At 51.6% G+C, this 12,968-nt stretch overlaps 1 protein-coding gene across 5 annotated transcripts in view; it reads left to right on the top strand.

The window, feature by feature from the left end:
• CACNA1A (calcium voltage-gated channel subunit alpha1 A) overlaps nucleotides 1–12,968 on the top strand; it is a 300,038-nt gene that overhangs the window by 250,360 nt on the left and 36,710 nt on the right. For all 5 annotated transcript variants that reach the window (NM_001127222.2, NM_001127221.2, NM_001174080.2 and 2 more), the window contains exons 29-31: nucleotides 861–1,025; nucleotides 3,019–3,129; nucleotides 10,855–10,938. In NM_001127222.2, coding sequence (NP_001120694.1) covers nucleotides 861–1,025; nucleotides 3,019–3,129; nucleotides 10,855–10,938 — 360 coding nt within the window. The remainder of the gene's footprint in view (nucleotides 1–860; nucleotides 1,026–3,018; nucleotides 3,130–10,854; nucleotides 10,939–12,968) is intronic.

Here is a 12,968-nt window from a genome sequence, read left to right as displayed (position 1 = left end):
TACTCAGGAGGCTGAAGCGGGAGGATCACTTGAGTCCAGGAGGTCAAGGCTGCAGTGAGCTGTGATTGCACTGCACTCCAGCCTGGGTGACAAAGCAAGCCCGTGTCAAAGAAAAAAAAAAAAAAAGGAAGGAGGGAGGGAGGGAGGGAAGGAAGGAAATGAGAGAGAGAAAGAAAGGAGGGAGGGAAGGAAGGAGATAGGGAAGAAGGAATGAAGAAGAAAGAAAGGGAGCGAAGGAAAGAAGGAAGAAGAGAGAAAGGAAAGGAGAAAGGGGAAAGGGTGGAAGGAATGAAGGGAAGGAAGGAAAAAGGAAAGTGAAGGAGGGAGGGAGGAAGGAAGGAAAGGAGGGAGGGAAGGAGGGAGGGAAGGAGGGAGGGAGGGAAGGAGGGAGGGAGAGAAGGAGGGAGGGAGGGAAGGAAGGAGGGAGGAAGGAAGGAAGGAGGGAGGGAGCGAGGGAGGGAGGAAGGGGAAGAAGGATTAGGCTTCAATTTGATTTGGCACACTCGGTAGCTGTGTCACCTCAGGCAAGTGGTTTAACCTTTCTAAGCCTCTATTTTGGTGATCTGCAAAGTGAGGCCATTGATAGTACCCACTTCCCATGTTTGTATTAGCCATGCAATAATGGGGAAATGTCAGTGCAAGTTTTGGCAGTTGGTGACATCTCAAGCAACTGTAGCTGTTGGGATAAGAAAGCAATGGTGAGAAGGAAGAGAGAGCCCAGGAATCCTGGCTGGGGGCAAGAGAGGCAGAGACTCAAGCAGAAGCACTTGAGAACCGCGACGAGTTAGACAGAGGGTGCCCGGTGTACAGCCACCTTCCTCCTGCCTCTGCCGCTCTCACCACTGGCCTCTCTCCCGCAGAGGGCCTGCATTGATTTCGCCATCAGCGCCAAGCCGCTGACCCGACACATGCCGCAGAACAAGCAGAGCTTCCAGTACCGCATGTGGCAGTTCGTGGTGTCTCCGCCTTTCGAGTACACGATCATGGCCATGATCGCCCTCAACACCATCGTGCTTATGATGAAGGTAAGTGCCCCACACCAGCCCCCAGCACTACTTAACCCCCACCTCGTTCCTGCCTCTACCCTGATAAAATGAAACCATCTGCAGTTTCCCAGACAGACCACACTCTGGATCACCTCTGAGATTTTGTTCCTGCTGTTCCCTCTACCTGACACACTGTTCCCACCACTCCCCCGGCCAGCTTCTTCTTCCCAGCTGTACCTGCAGACCTCTTCCTCCAGAAAGCCTTCCCTGACCACCCAAGACTGCTTGAGGTGCCCATCTTAGCAGGCATCCTATCTTTATGTCGCCTGCCACAAAAATCTGCGTCAGGTTGCATGACAGTGTCCCCCACCCATTTATGATGACCTCAGCCCTGAATTCCTAGAGGCCAACAAGGATCTGGCTCAGACGGAACAAGAAGCTCTCTATAAATGTTTGATTAATGAAATGAGGGGGCTGGGCGCGGTGGCTCATGCCTGTAATCCCAGAACTTTGGGAGGCCGAGGCGGGCGGATCACCTGAGGTCACGAGTTCGAGACCAGCCTGACCAACACGGAGAAACCGCATCTCTACTAAAAATACAAAATTAGCCAGGCGTGGTGGTGCGCATCTGTAATCCCAGCTACTCGGGAGGCTGAGGCAGGAGAATTGCTTGAACCCGGGAGGCGGAGGTTGCCATGAGCCGAGATAGCGCAATTGCACTCTAGCCTGGGCAACAAGAGCAAGACTCCATCTCAAAAAAAAAAAGAAAAGAAAAAGAAAGAAATGAGGGAGAAGGGGTAGGTGAGGACCCTAAAATCCCCAGGGCTAAGGAGCGGCTTCCAAAAAAAAACTCTGAAAACCTTTCACCCTGTGCTTTGGACTCCAAAGCGTGGATTCAAGCCCAGCTCTTCCATTTAATTCATTTACCTTTGTACAAGCAACCAGTGACTTTCTGGGGACTCAGTTTCCCTGTCAATAAAATGGGAATGATAATAAGAGCACATTTGCCCCCTCCAGAGGAGGTGAGAGGATTGAATGAGAAAGTTCATGCAAGGACCTTAGCTCCTTCTCGGCACTTCAAAAACGATCAATAGTGGCCGGGCAAGGTGGCTCACACCTGTAATCCCAGCACTTTGGGAGGTCGAGGCAGGCGGATCACTTGAGGCCAGGTGTTCGGGACCAACTGGCCAACATGGTGAAATCCCGTCTCTACTAAAAATACAAAAATTAGCTGGGCGTGGTGGCGCATGCCTATAATACCAGCTGCGTGAGAGGCTGAGGCATGAGAATCGCTTGAACCCAGGGGGCGGAAGTTGCAGTGAGCTGAGATCACACCACTGCACTCCAGCCTGGGTAACAGAGTGAGACTCCGTCTCAAAAAAAATAAGGAAGCCGGGGACGGTGGCTCACGCCTGTAATCCCAGCACTTTGGGAGGCCGAGGAGGGCGATCACAAGGTTAGGAGATCAAGACCATCCTGGCTAACACGGTGAAACGCTGTCTCTACTAAAAATACAAAAAGTTAGCTGGGCATGGTGGTGGGCACCTGTAGTCCCAGCTACTTGGGAGGCTGAGGCAGGGGAATGGCATGAACCCAGGAGGTGGAGCTTGCAGTGAGCCGAGATCGCGCCACTGCACTCCAGCCCGGGTGACAGAGTGAGACTCCTCAAAAAAAAAAAAAAAAAAAAAGTATAATTCAGCCAAGCACAATGGCGTATGCCTATAGTCCCGACTATCAGGAGGCTAAGGTAGGATTGTGAGTTCAAGCCCAGCCTGGGCAAAATAGGAAGACCCCGTCTACCAAAAAAAAAAAAAAAAGGTTGGGGGAGGTTTTTGTTTTTTTGGATGTGAAAAGAAGAGCCTAGTCCGGCGGAGAGCGGGGCTTTCCTGAACTGTGCCTCCTACCAGTGAGGTTGCTCAGACCTTGCCTGGGGCTGGAGTGTTGCCTGGAGAACAGCCATGAAGCTGCCTCCCCACTTCCCACTTCCCACCCCTGCTCGCTGACCCCTGCTACTCCTGCTTCTTTCCCCTAGTTCTATGGGGCTTCTGTTGCTTATGAAAATGCCCTGCGGGTGTTCAACATCGTCTTCACCTCCCTCTTCTCTCTGGAATGTGTGCTGAAAGTCATGGCTTTTGGGATTCTGGTAAGTACCACCTTGGGGCTACAGCTATGGGCTTGGGAGAAGCCCAAGGGGGAACAATGGGTCCTGGATGATGGTCTCCCAACGTGGCCCCAAGAACCCCAACCTCAAGGGTGGCTTCAGTATCCTGCCAGTGGCCACAGATCCTACTTAGGCATTCTTGTGTTTGCCAAGGAGTCCCAGGGAGACCCAACCTGTGAGTGTTACCATATGGCTGCTTATGTATCCAGTTCCTCAAAATGATGGGAGTCATCATGGCTGGGAGTCTTTAGCATCCATTTTAGAGATAAGAAAACTGAAATCAGGCTGGGCGAGGTGTCTCATGGCTGTAATTCCAGCACTTTGGGAGGCCAAGGTGGGCGGATCACCTGAGGTCGGGAGTTCGAGACCAGCCTGACCAACATGGAGAAACTCTGTCTCTACTAAAAATACAAAATTAGCCGGGTGTGGTGGCGCATGCCTGTAATCCCAGCTACTCGGGAGGCTGAGGCAGGAGAATCGCTTGAACCTGGGAGGCAGAGGTTGTGGTGAGCCGAGATCACATCACTGCACTCCAGCCTGGGCAACAAGAGTGAAACTCTGTCTCAAAAAAAAGAAAGAAAGAAAGAAAACTGAAATCAGGCTGAGCACAGTGGCTCATGCCTGTAATCCTAGCACTTCAGGAGGCCAAGGCAGGAGGATCGCTTGAAGCTAGGAGTTCTCAACCAGCCTGGGCAGCAAAGCAAGCCCCTGTCCCTACAAAAAAAAAAAAAATTTTTTTTTAATTAGCCAGGCATGGTAACTCGTGCCTGTAGTGCCAGTTACTCAGGAGGCTGAGGTGGGAAGATATTTTGAGCCCAGGAGGTGGAGGTTGCAGTGAGCTATGATCATGCCACTGCACCCCAGCCTGGGCAACAGCAAGACTCCATCTTTAAAAAACAAACACAGAGGTCAGGCACAGTGACTCACACCTGTAATCCCAGCACTTTGGGAGGCAGAGGCAGGCAAATCACTTGAGCCTAGGAGTTCGAGACCACCCTGGCCAACATGGCAAAACCCCATCTCTACTAAAACTACAAAAAATTAGCCTGGCGTGCTTGTGGGTGCCCATGATCCCAGCTACTCAGGAGGCTGAGGCAGGAGAATCGCTTGAACCCACAAAGTGGAGGTTACAGTGAGCTGAGATCACACCACTGCACTCCAGCCTGAGCAACAGAGCAAGTCTCAAAAAAATAATAATAATAAAAATAAATATGTCTTTATTTTTCACCAGCCACTAACTAAATTTTAACATTTCCTTCCATCTTAAAGGGAGATAACAAACCCTTAGTATTAGTATTATCAACCCTTAATATTATCAACATGACCTGTGTCACTTATAAACATCAGATATTTTCATACTGCATTATAAGAGCTGCAGATACCTTAACATTTAATTTGCATTCATCATTGCTTTAAAATGTTGCTTGTGATTAAACCTACAGCTAGAATTTGTTACTCAGTGTTTTTTTGTTGTTGTTCTGTTTTGTTTTGTTTGAGACAGTCTCGCTGTTGCCCAGGCTGGAGTGCAGTGGCGCAATCTCGGCTCACTGAAAGCTCCACCCCCTGGGTTCACGCCATTCTCCTGCCTCAGCCTCCCGAGTAGCTGGGACTACAGGTGCCTGCCACCACACCTGGCTAATTGTTTGTATTTTTAGTAGAGATGGGGTTTCACCATGTTGGCCAGGATGGTCTTGATTTCCTGACCTCATGATCCGCCCGCCTCGGCCTCCCAAAGTGCTGGGATTACAGGCGGGAGCCACCGCACCCGGCCTACTCAGTGTGTTAATGGAGAAGTATATTCATTGTTAGATCGCCATTTTTAAAACTTTTTTTTTTTTTTTGAGACACAGTCTTGCTCTGTTGCCCAAGCTGGAGTACCGTGGCACAATCTTGGCTCACTGAAACCTCCACCTCCTGGGTTCAAGCGATTCTCCCATCTCAGCCTTCTGAGTAGCTGGGACTACAGATGCACACCAGCATGCCAGGCTAATTTTTATATTTTTAGTAGAGACGGGGTTTCACCATGTTGGCCAGGCTGGTCTCGAACTCCTGGCATCAAGCAATCTGCCTGCTTCAGCCTCCCAAAATGCTGGGATTACAGGCATGAGACACTGTGCCTAGCCTTAAAAAATATTTTGATAGCTATTTTATTACAAAAGGTAACCTTGAAGCCCTTGCTATTTTGTTATGCATTTACAAGCCTTTATGCATAAAATAAAATAGCCAGCACTATTCTCACATGGCCAAGGTTCATAGCACACACACAAAAGTATAGTTGGCTGAGTGCGGTGGCTCACACCTGTAATCCCAACACTTTGGGAGACAGAGGTGGGTGGATCATGAGGTCAAGAGATCCAGACCACCCTTGCCAACATGGTGAAACCCCATCTCTACTAAAAAGTACAAAAATTAGCTGGGTGTGGTGGCGCATGCCTGTAGTCTCAGCTACTCGGGAGGCTGAGGCAGGAGAATCATTTGAACGTGGGAGGCGGAGGTTGCAGTGAGCCGAGATCTTGCCACTGCACTCCAGCCTGGGTGACAGAGTGAGACTCCATCTCAATAAATAAATAAATTAAATTAAATTAAATTAAAATTATTTTTTAAAAAATTGGGGGCTGAGTGTGATGGCTCACACCTGTAATCCCGGCAGTTTGGGAGCTTGAGGAGGGCAGATCCCTTGAGGTCAGGAGTTCAAGACCAGCCTGGACAACATGGTGAAACCCCGTCTCTACTAAAAATACAAAAATTAGCCAGGCATGGTGGCGTGTGCCTGTAATCCCAGCTACTCGTGAGGCTGAGGCCCAAGCATCGCTTGAACCTGTGAGGCGGAGGTTGCAGTGAGCCAAGATGGCACCAGTGCACTCCAGCCTGGGTGACAGAGTGAGACTTTGTCTCAAAAAAAAAAAAAAATTAAGGTGAAGAAGGCTTATACTAGTGGGCTGGGACTTGAAGTGAAGTGAATTCTTGAAGGTCCCCAGTGAGTGGCCAAGGTGGGACTTGAACCAGGACATCTGTTCTCTTGACCACCAGCTTAGTCCATCCCTTTGAAGAGAGTGACCTACAGTCTGGGTCTCAGCCAGGGTCTCAGGAAACCAGGTTCCCACCTTGGCTCACGGAGGTGGTTAGGGGCATCAGCTTTAGCACCAGAGTTCAGATCTTGCCTCGTCCTATATAAGCTTTGTCACCTCCCCATCATTAAAAGGAGCCATCCTCCCCCTCCACCTCAGCAGAGCCCTGGTAAACAGCAAATGGACTAACGTGCATCTAGAGGGTTGAGGATGAAGCCTGGCCTGGCATGGGCACTCAATAAATGCTAGGGGCCAGGCACGGTGGCTGACACCTGTAATCGCAGCACTTTGGGAGGCTGAGGCAGGTGGATCGCTTGAGCCCAGGAGTCTGAGACCAACCTGGACAACATAGTGAGATTCTGTCTCTACAAAAAGTACAAAATTAGCCTGGTGTGGTGGCGTGCACCTGCAGTCCCATCTACTTAGGAGGCTGAGGTGAGAGGATGGATTCAGCCCAGGATGTCAGGGCTGCAGTGAGTCGTGATTGAGCCGCTGCACCCCACCCTGGGTGACAGAGCAAGACCCTGTATCAAAATAAATAAATAAATGCTAGGAAAGGGATCCTACTAATGGACCTTTTTCCTCCAAAACAGTGGCTTTCATTTGGTGGAGATGCTACTTATTAGAAGCACTTGAGGCCAGGTGTGGTGGCTCATGCCTGTAGTCCCAGCACTTTGGGACTTCTGCCAAGGCAGAAGAATTGCTTGAACCCAGGCGTTTCAGACCAGCCTGGGCAACATAGCAAGACCTCATCTCTAGAAAACATTGAAAAATTAGCCAGCATAGTGGCACATGACTGTTGTCCTAACTACTTAGGCGAAGGCAGGAGGATTACTTGAGCTCAGGAGTTCAAGGCTGCAGTGAGCTGCGATCACATCACTGCCCTCCAGCCTGAGCAACAACACAAGACCCGGACTCTAAAAATCAAAAAAGAAGCACTTAGGGAAATTTCTTAAAATTAAATGATACCCTGAGCAAACCCCTAGATGTTCTGATTCATTTGGTTTGGTGAGGTGGGAGGGAATCACTGAATCTGTAATTTATTATTATTTTTTTTTTTTTGAGATGGATTCTCACTCTGTTGCCCAGGCTGGAGTGCAGTGGTGCAATCTTGGCTCACTGCAACCTCTGCTTCCCGGGTTCAAGCAATTGTCCTGCCTCAGCCTCCCGACTAGTTGGGATTACAGGCGCCCACCATCACGCCCGGCTAATTTTTGTATTTTTAGCAGAGACGGGGATTCACCACGTCAGCCAGGTTGGTCTCCAACTCCTGACCTCAGGTGATCCGCCTGCCTCGGCCTCCCAAAGTGCTGGGATTATAGGCATGAGCCACCGTACCTAGCCTGCAGTTATTTTATTCTGAGTTGATCTTCTGCTGGTGAAGTGAGTCTTCCACTGGGGCCTGGAGCTGCATCTCCCTCACCCTGCCAATCCTGCAAGAGCCAGCACTGAGCTTCCCCTCTGCTTTCTCTTTTTTTTTTTTTTTTTTTTTTTTGAGATGGGATCTTACTCTGTTGCCCAGCCTGTTCTTGAACTCGTGGCCTCAAGCAGTTCTCCCTCCTTGGCCTCCCAAAGTGCTGGAATTATAGGCATGAGCCACCACGCCTGGTCTCCCCTTTCAGTTTTAAATGAAGCCACAAGTTCCCTGTATAACATTTGGGAGATAGAGGGGAGCTCTCTAGCCTAGGGGTTGAGGTCTGTGACCAAACGCCTATAAAGTTGTCTTTGTTTGGACTCCCCCAGAAGCAGAGCCTGAGACAAGGATTGAGTGCAAGGAATTTATCTGGGATGCAGGGCAGTAAGGGAGAGAGGAAGTGACACAGGGACAGAAAGGCAACCAGGAAAGAGTGTATTATTAAGCCAGTTCCTGCTGTGAACAAATGGGGCTCAGTTTCAGTGGATACCTCCAGGAGGCAACAGAGAGCACATACCACAGAGTCATCCCACCTCACAGGGAGGGAATTGGAGTATTTATCCTCCAGTGCCCATCAGACATAATCACAGGCCACTCCCAGGGGAGCTATTAATTCCCTAACACTTGTGCAGCCACAGAGAGACCCTGGGCAAAGTAGTGTACCTCAGGTGTGTAGTTGAGCTATGGGCAGGGCCCCAGCAACACCTGCCAAAATGCCAAAAGTGCCAGTGGGACCTGAATTCCTTTTTATTTATTTATTTATTTATTTATTTATTTTTATTTATTTATTTTTGACGGAGTCTCGCTCTGTGGCCCAGGCTGGAGTGCAGTGGTGCAATCTCTGCTCACTGCAAGCTCTGCCTCCCAGGTTCACGCCATTCTCCTGCCTCAGCCTCCGGAGTAGCTGGGACTACAGGCGCGCACCACCACGCCTGCCTGATTTTTGTGTGCGTGTATTTTTAGTAGAGATGGGGATTCACCATGTTATCCAGGATGGTCTTGATCTCCTGACCTCGTGATCCGCCCACATCGGCCTCCCAAAGTGCTGGGATTGCAGGCGTGAGCCACCGCGCCCGGCCCCCTGAATTCCTTTTTTAGGCAGTTGTGAAACAACAACATCCCATCTGTTGGGCACCTACTGTATATTCCATGCTCAGCGACGCACATTCATTGTCTGATTGCTGTGTTACCACTGCCTTCCAGAGAAGGGCGCAGAGGCCCCAGGCACTTCGCCTAGGAGGGAAGCACAGCTCTAAGGTCAGGCTCCTTCTCTGTAAGGTAGAGGGGCTACTTCAGGGTCACACTGACCGCCCCAACCCCTGACCTGGCCTCTGCTTCTGCGAAGATGCTGAGAAGGCCCTGTGTTTTGTGTTTTGGGTCCCACTGACCCCAGAGGGGAGGGCCATCTCTTTGACCCAGACTCTTGGATCCAAACTGGGGTGCCACCCATCACCATGTCAGTACCCGGTTGAGGGGAGTCAGAGATAGCAGGAGACCTTGTGGGACTTGAGGCTGTGACTGTTCTCCAAACAATGTGGAGTATTTCCATATTTTAACAAAAGAGAGGCCAGGCGTGGTGGCTCACGCCTGTAATCCCAGCACTTTGGGAGGCCGAGGCGGATGGATCACAACGTCAGGAGATCAAGATCATCCTGGCTAACATGGTGAAACCCCGTCTCTACTAAAAAATACAAAAAATTAGCCAGGCGTGGTGGTGGGCGCCTGTAGTCCCAGCTACTCAGGAGACTGAAGCAGGAGAATGGTGTGAACCCGGGAGGCAGAGCTTGTAGTGAGCCGAGAACGTGCCACTGCACTCCAGCCTGGGCGACAGAGTGAGACTCTGTCTCAAAAAAAAAAAACAAACAGAGAGGTTATGCTTGTGTTTCCCCTTGAGCCAGCACCCAGCCCAGGAATGCAGCAGTCAGGATAGATCAAGTGAAGCTGCAGTAACAAACAGCCCCCACATCTCAGTGACTTAAATTGATGGGAAGGGTTTTTTACATTCAGCAGGGAAGCTGTTTGCCTCATAGTTACCCAGGGACCCAGGCTCACAGAGTAGCTGCCATTCAAAATGTTACTGGTCGCCAAGCCCAGGGTTGAGAGGCTAGAGAGTCCAACACTGACCAGAAAGTGACCACACTGCTTCCACACACAGCACATCACTGCACCTAGACACACATGGCCCCATCTAAACACAAGGGGACCAGGAAGTGCGTGTGCCTGAAAGGCCCCAAAGCCCCGTCCAGTGCCTGTTCTGCACCCTGTTACTGTCCGCCTCCAGATCAGGAAATGGAGGCCCAGAGAGGTTAAGCCACTTGCCCATAGCCACACAGCTGTGGTAGCAGAGCTGGGATTTGAACCCAGAGTCTCCTTTCTTTGCGAGTATGCTGCCAACCTAGTGGGGACCTGAACACAGACTGTGGGCTCTCTGAGGCCTGGGTTCAAATCCTGGCTTTACATCTCTGTGCTGCTAGCCTCAGGCAGATGAGTGGCTTGGTTACCTCCTAGAAAATGGGTATACCTGGGAGTGGTGGCTCACGCCTATAATCCCAACACTTTGGAAGGCCAAAGTGAGCAGATCACTTGAGGTCAGAAGTTCGAGACCAGCCTGACCAACATGGTGAAACCCCGTCTCTACTAAAAATACAAAAATTAGCTGGGTGTGGTGGCATGCACCTGTGGTCCTACCTACTTGGGAGGCTGAGGCAGGAGAATCGCTTGAACCCAGGAGGCAGAGGTTACAGTGAGCCGAGATCGTGCCACTGCACTCCAGCCTGGATGACTGAGCGAGACTCCATCTCAAAAAAAAAAAAAAAAAAGAGAAAGAAAGAAAAAGAAAATGGGTGATAACCCTTCCCTCCAGGATCTTCATGAGGAGCTCAGTGATGTCATTTATAAAGCCCCTGGGGTCTCGGGAGCCCTCAAAAATGCTGGAGAGACAGGCCACAGCTCTGAAGAGCAGCCCCAGCCCTGTGGAGCTGAAGCAGGGTCTGGAGGCCCCCTCTGGGGCCAGGCCAATCATGGGAAGGCCCCCAGGAGTTCCCAGGGAGGGAGACTCAGCACAGATGATGTCGAACAGCCTTTACCGCAGCCCTTCGAACAACCATAACTGTCCCGGGCACTCCGCTGATGGGCAACTGTGCCTCTAACATGCACCCGGCCAGCCTAGGGGGCCGGGAACCAAGCCCTCTGTTGGCATCTCTGTCTTGTGGGTCCCCATTCTAGAATTATTTCCGCGATGCCTGGAACATCTTCGACTTTGTGACTGTTCTGGGCAGCATCACCGATATCCTCGTGACTGAGTTTGGGGTAAGTCTCCCTCCAGCTTCTCTCTGGGTGACTCTGGGCTGGACGAGGCAGGCGGCAGGGGGCGGGGGAGCGGTCCCAGAGGCAGTGTGTCCCGGAAGCCATAGCTGCTTGAGCCAGCACTTGGCCATGACCAGAGAGGGAGAACTGGGGCCCCGGGGACAAGGGCAGCCCCTCAGGAGGGCATTGTGGGGAGATGGGGGTAACCAAAGCTTGGCTGTAGGGCCAGCACTGAGGGGTGGGCTTTCCTGCATCCTGGCCTAGGAATTAATAATGCAGATGAGTACACTGAGGGAACTGAGACACTCAAAAGCTCTGAAAGCTGAGCCGGCTCCCAAACACCACCCTATGTCAGGAGCCCAGAAAGAATGGGTTTCAAGTCAATTCTGTTTGAACCAACCCTCTCCTAGTTAGTGGGCAGGAGAGAGCCACAGCCCTCAGGCCAGTGTGGGGACACCACTCCCAGGGCCATAGAGGGGTCCCCAGGGTGTCTTCCCTCCTCTAGCCCCGGGCCTGGGAGACTCTCAACATGGGAGTCTCTGGACCTCTCTGTGGTGGCCCCACAGGCCACATTGCCCTTCTCCTTTTCTGGAAGACTCAGGGCCCCAGAGGTCCTGTCCTAGACCCTCTCCTTGGCCATCTGCCAATGAGCCCAGGCTTGGGGTCCCTCAGGAGATTGGGGGGAGGGTAGAAGATCCTTGCAGGGGGAAGCAATGGTCAAAAAAGGGTGTCAAAGCCAAGGGTCAAGGGTGATACCAATGTCATCTTACTAACAATAAAAATAACAATAGCTCACGAGAATCGCAGCCTTGCTGTGTGCCAGGGAACTGTGCCAAGTGGTTTACGTGGATTGGCTCAGGGTAGAGGTCTTGGTCTCAGCTCGTAAGAGAATTCCCTCGGAGGGTTCAACTGAAGGCACCCAAATGCAGACCTCACTGGTGGAGGGGAAGGGAAGGGTACCCACAAGGGTGGCAAGGTGTCCAGCGACCACCCACCGTGGGGAGCTGTCACCTGCCCAGGTGCTGAAGTGGGGAGGGAACCTGAGCCGGAGGCCAGGAGAAGCCACCAAGTGGGAGCTGTCCTGTCAATGTGGAGAGACAGAGACCAGGGCCCAAGCAGGCAGAGAGCAATAGGGGAGAAACACCCCAACCTTTCTCTCCCCTCATCCCTTATCTCCTGCCAGAGCCTCCCATGGCCCAAAGTAAACCGGAAGCAAGCTGAATATGATGCTCAGAGCAGGCAGGGAAGTCAGGAGAATAGATCTGGGTGTGGTCGGGCCTGAGGAAGAGGGTGTTGCCTCATTTCACAGATGGGAAAACTGACCTCAGCTGGGCACGGTGGCTCATGCCTGTAATCCCAGCACTTTGGGAGGCCGAAGCCGGCGGATCACCTGAGGCCAGGAGTTCAAGACCAGCCTGGCCAACATGGTGAAACCCCATCTCTACTGACAATACAAAAAAATTAGCCAGGTGTGGTGGTGCATGCCTGTAATCCCAGCTACTCGGGAGGCTGAGGCAGGAAAATTGCTTGAACCCGGAAGGCGGAGGTTGCAGTGAGCGACGGTCATACCATTGCACTCCAGCCTGGGTGACAAGAGCGAAAACTCCATCTCAAAAAAAAAAAGAAAGAAAGAAAACTGATCTTCAATGCCTGGGGAAGTGAGAGACACTCCCAAGGTCACAAAGCCAGGCCTGGGTGACTCCTGAGAGTACACTGACAGCTCCTGGGGTGTCCCAGTCAGATCCCCCTACAGAAAAGGATCTGTTTGCCTGCTCTTCCGTCCTAGAAGGCCAGGAGGGGCTGGGGAACTACACAAAAGAGGGGGCCATTCTTTGATATGTCCTACGGCACCCGCACCCAAGTGATACACACTTATTTGCCTTCAGCTCCAGTGAGCCAGAATTTTCCCCTTCCCCTCACCCTATCCCTGAAACCTTCCTCTAGAGGGTTCTTGCCCACATGGGGGCTCTCTCCACTGGGGTGCCCCCACCTGGTCATTCTCCCCTGTCCTGAGTTTCTAGAGAGGGCTGGAG

The sequence above is a fragment of the Homo sapiens genome, chromosome 19, assembly GCF_000001405.40.
Source record: "Homo sapiens chromosome 19, GRCh38.p14 Primary Assembly".
Taxonomy (NCBI): domain Eukaryota; kingdom Metazoa; phylum Chordata; class Mammalia; order Primates; family Hominidae; genus Homo; species Homo sapiens.
The sequence above is the reverse complement of the archived record's forward strand: the minus strand, read 5'-3'. Positions and strand labels throughout refer to the sequence as shown.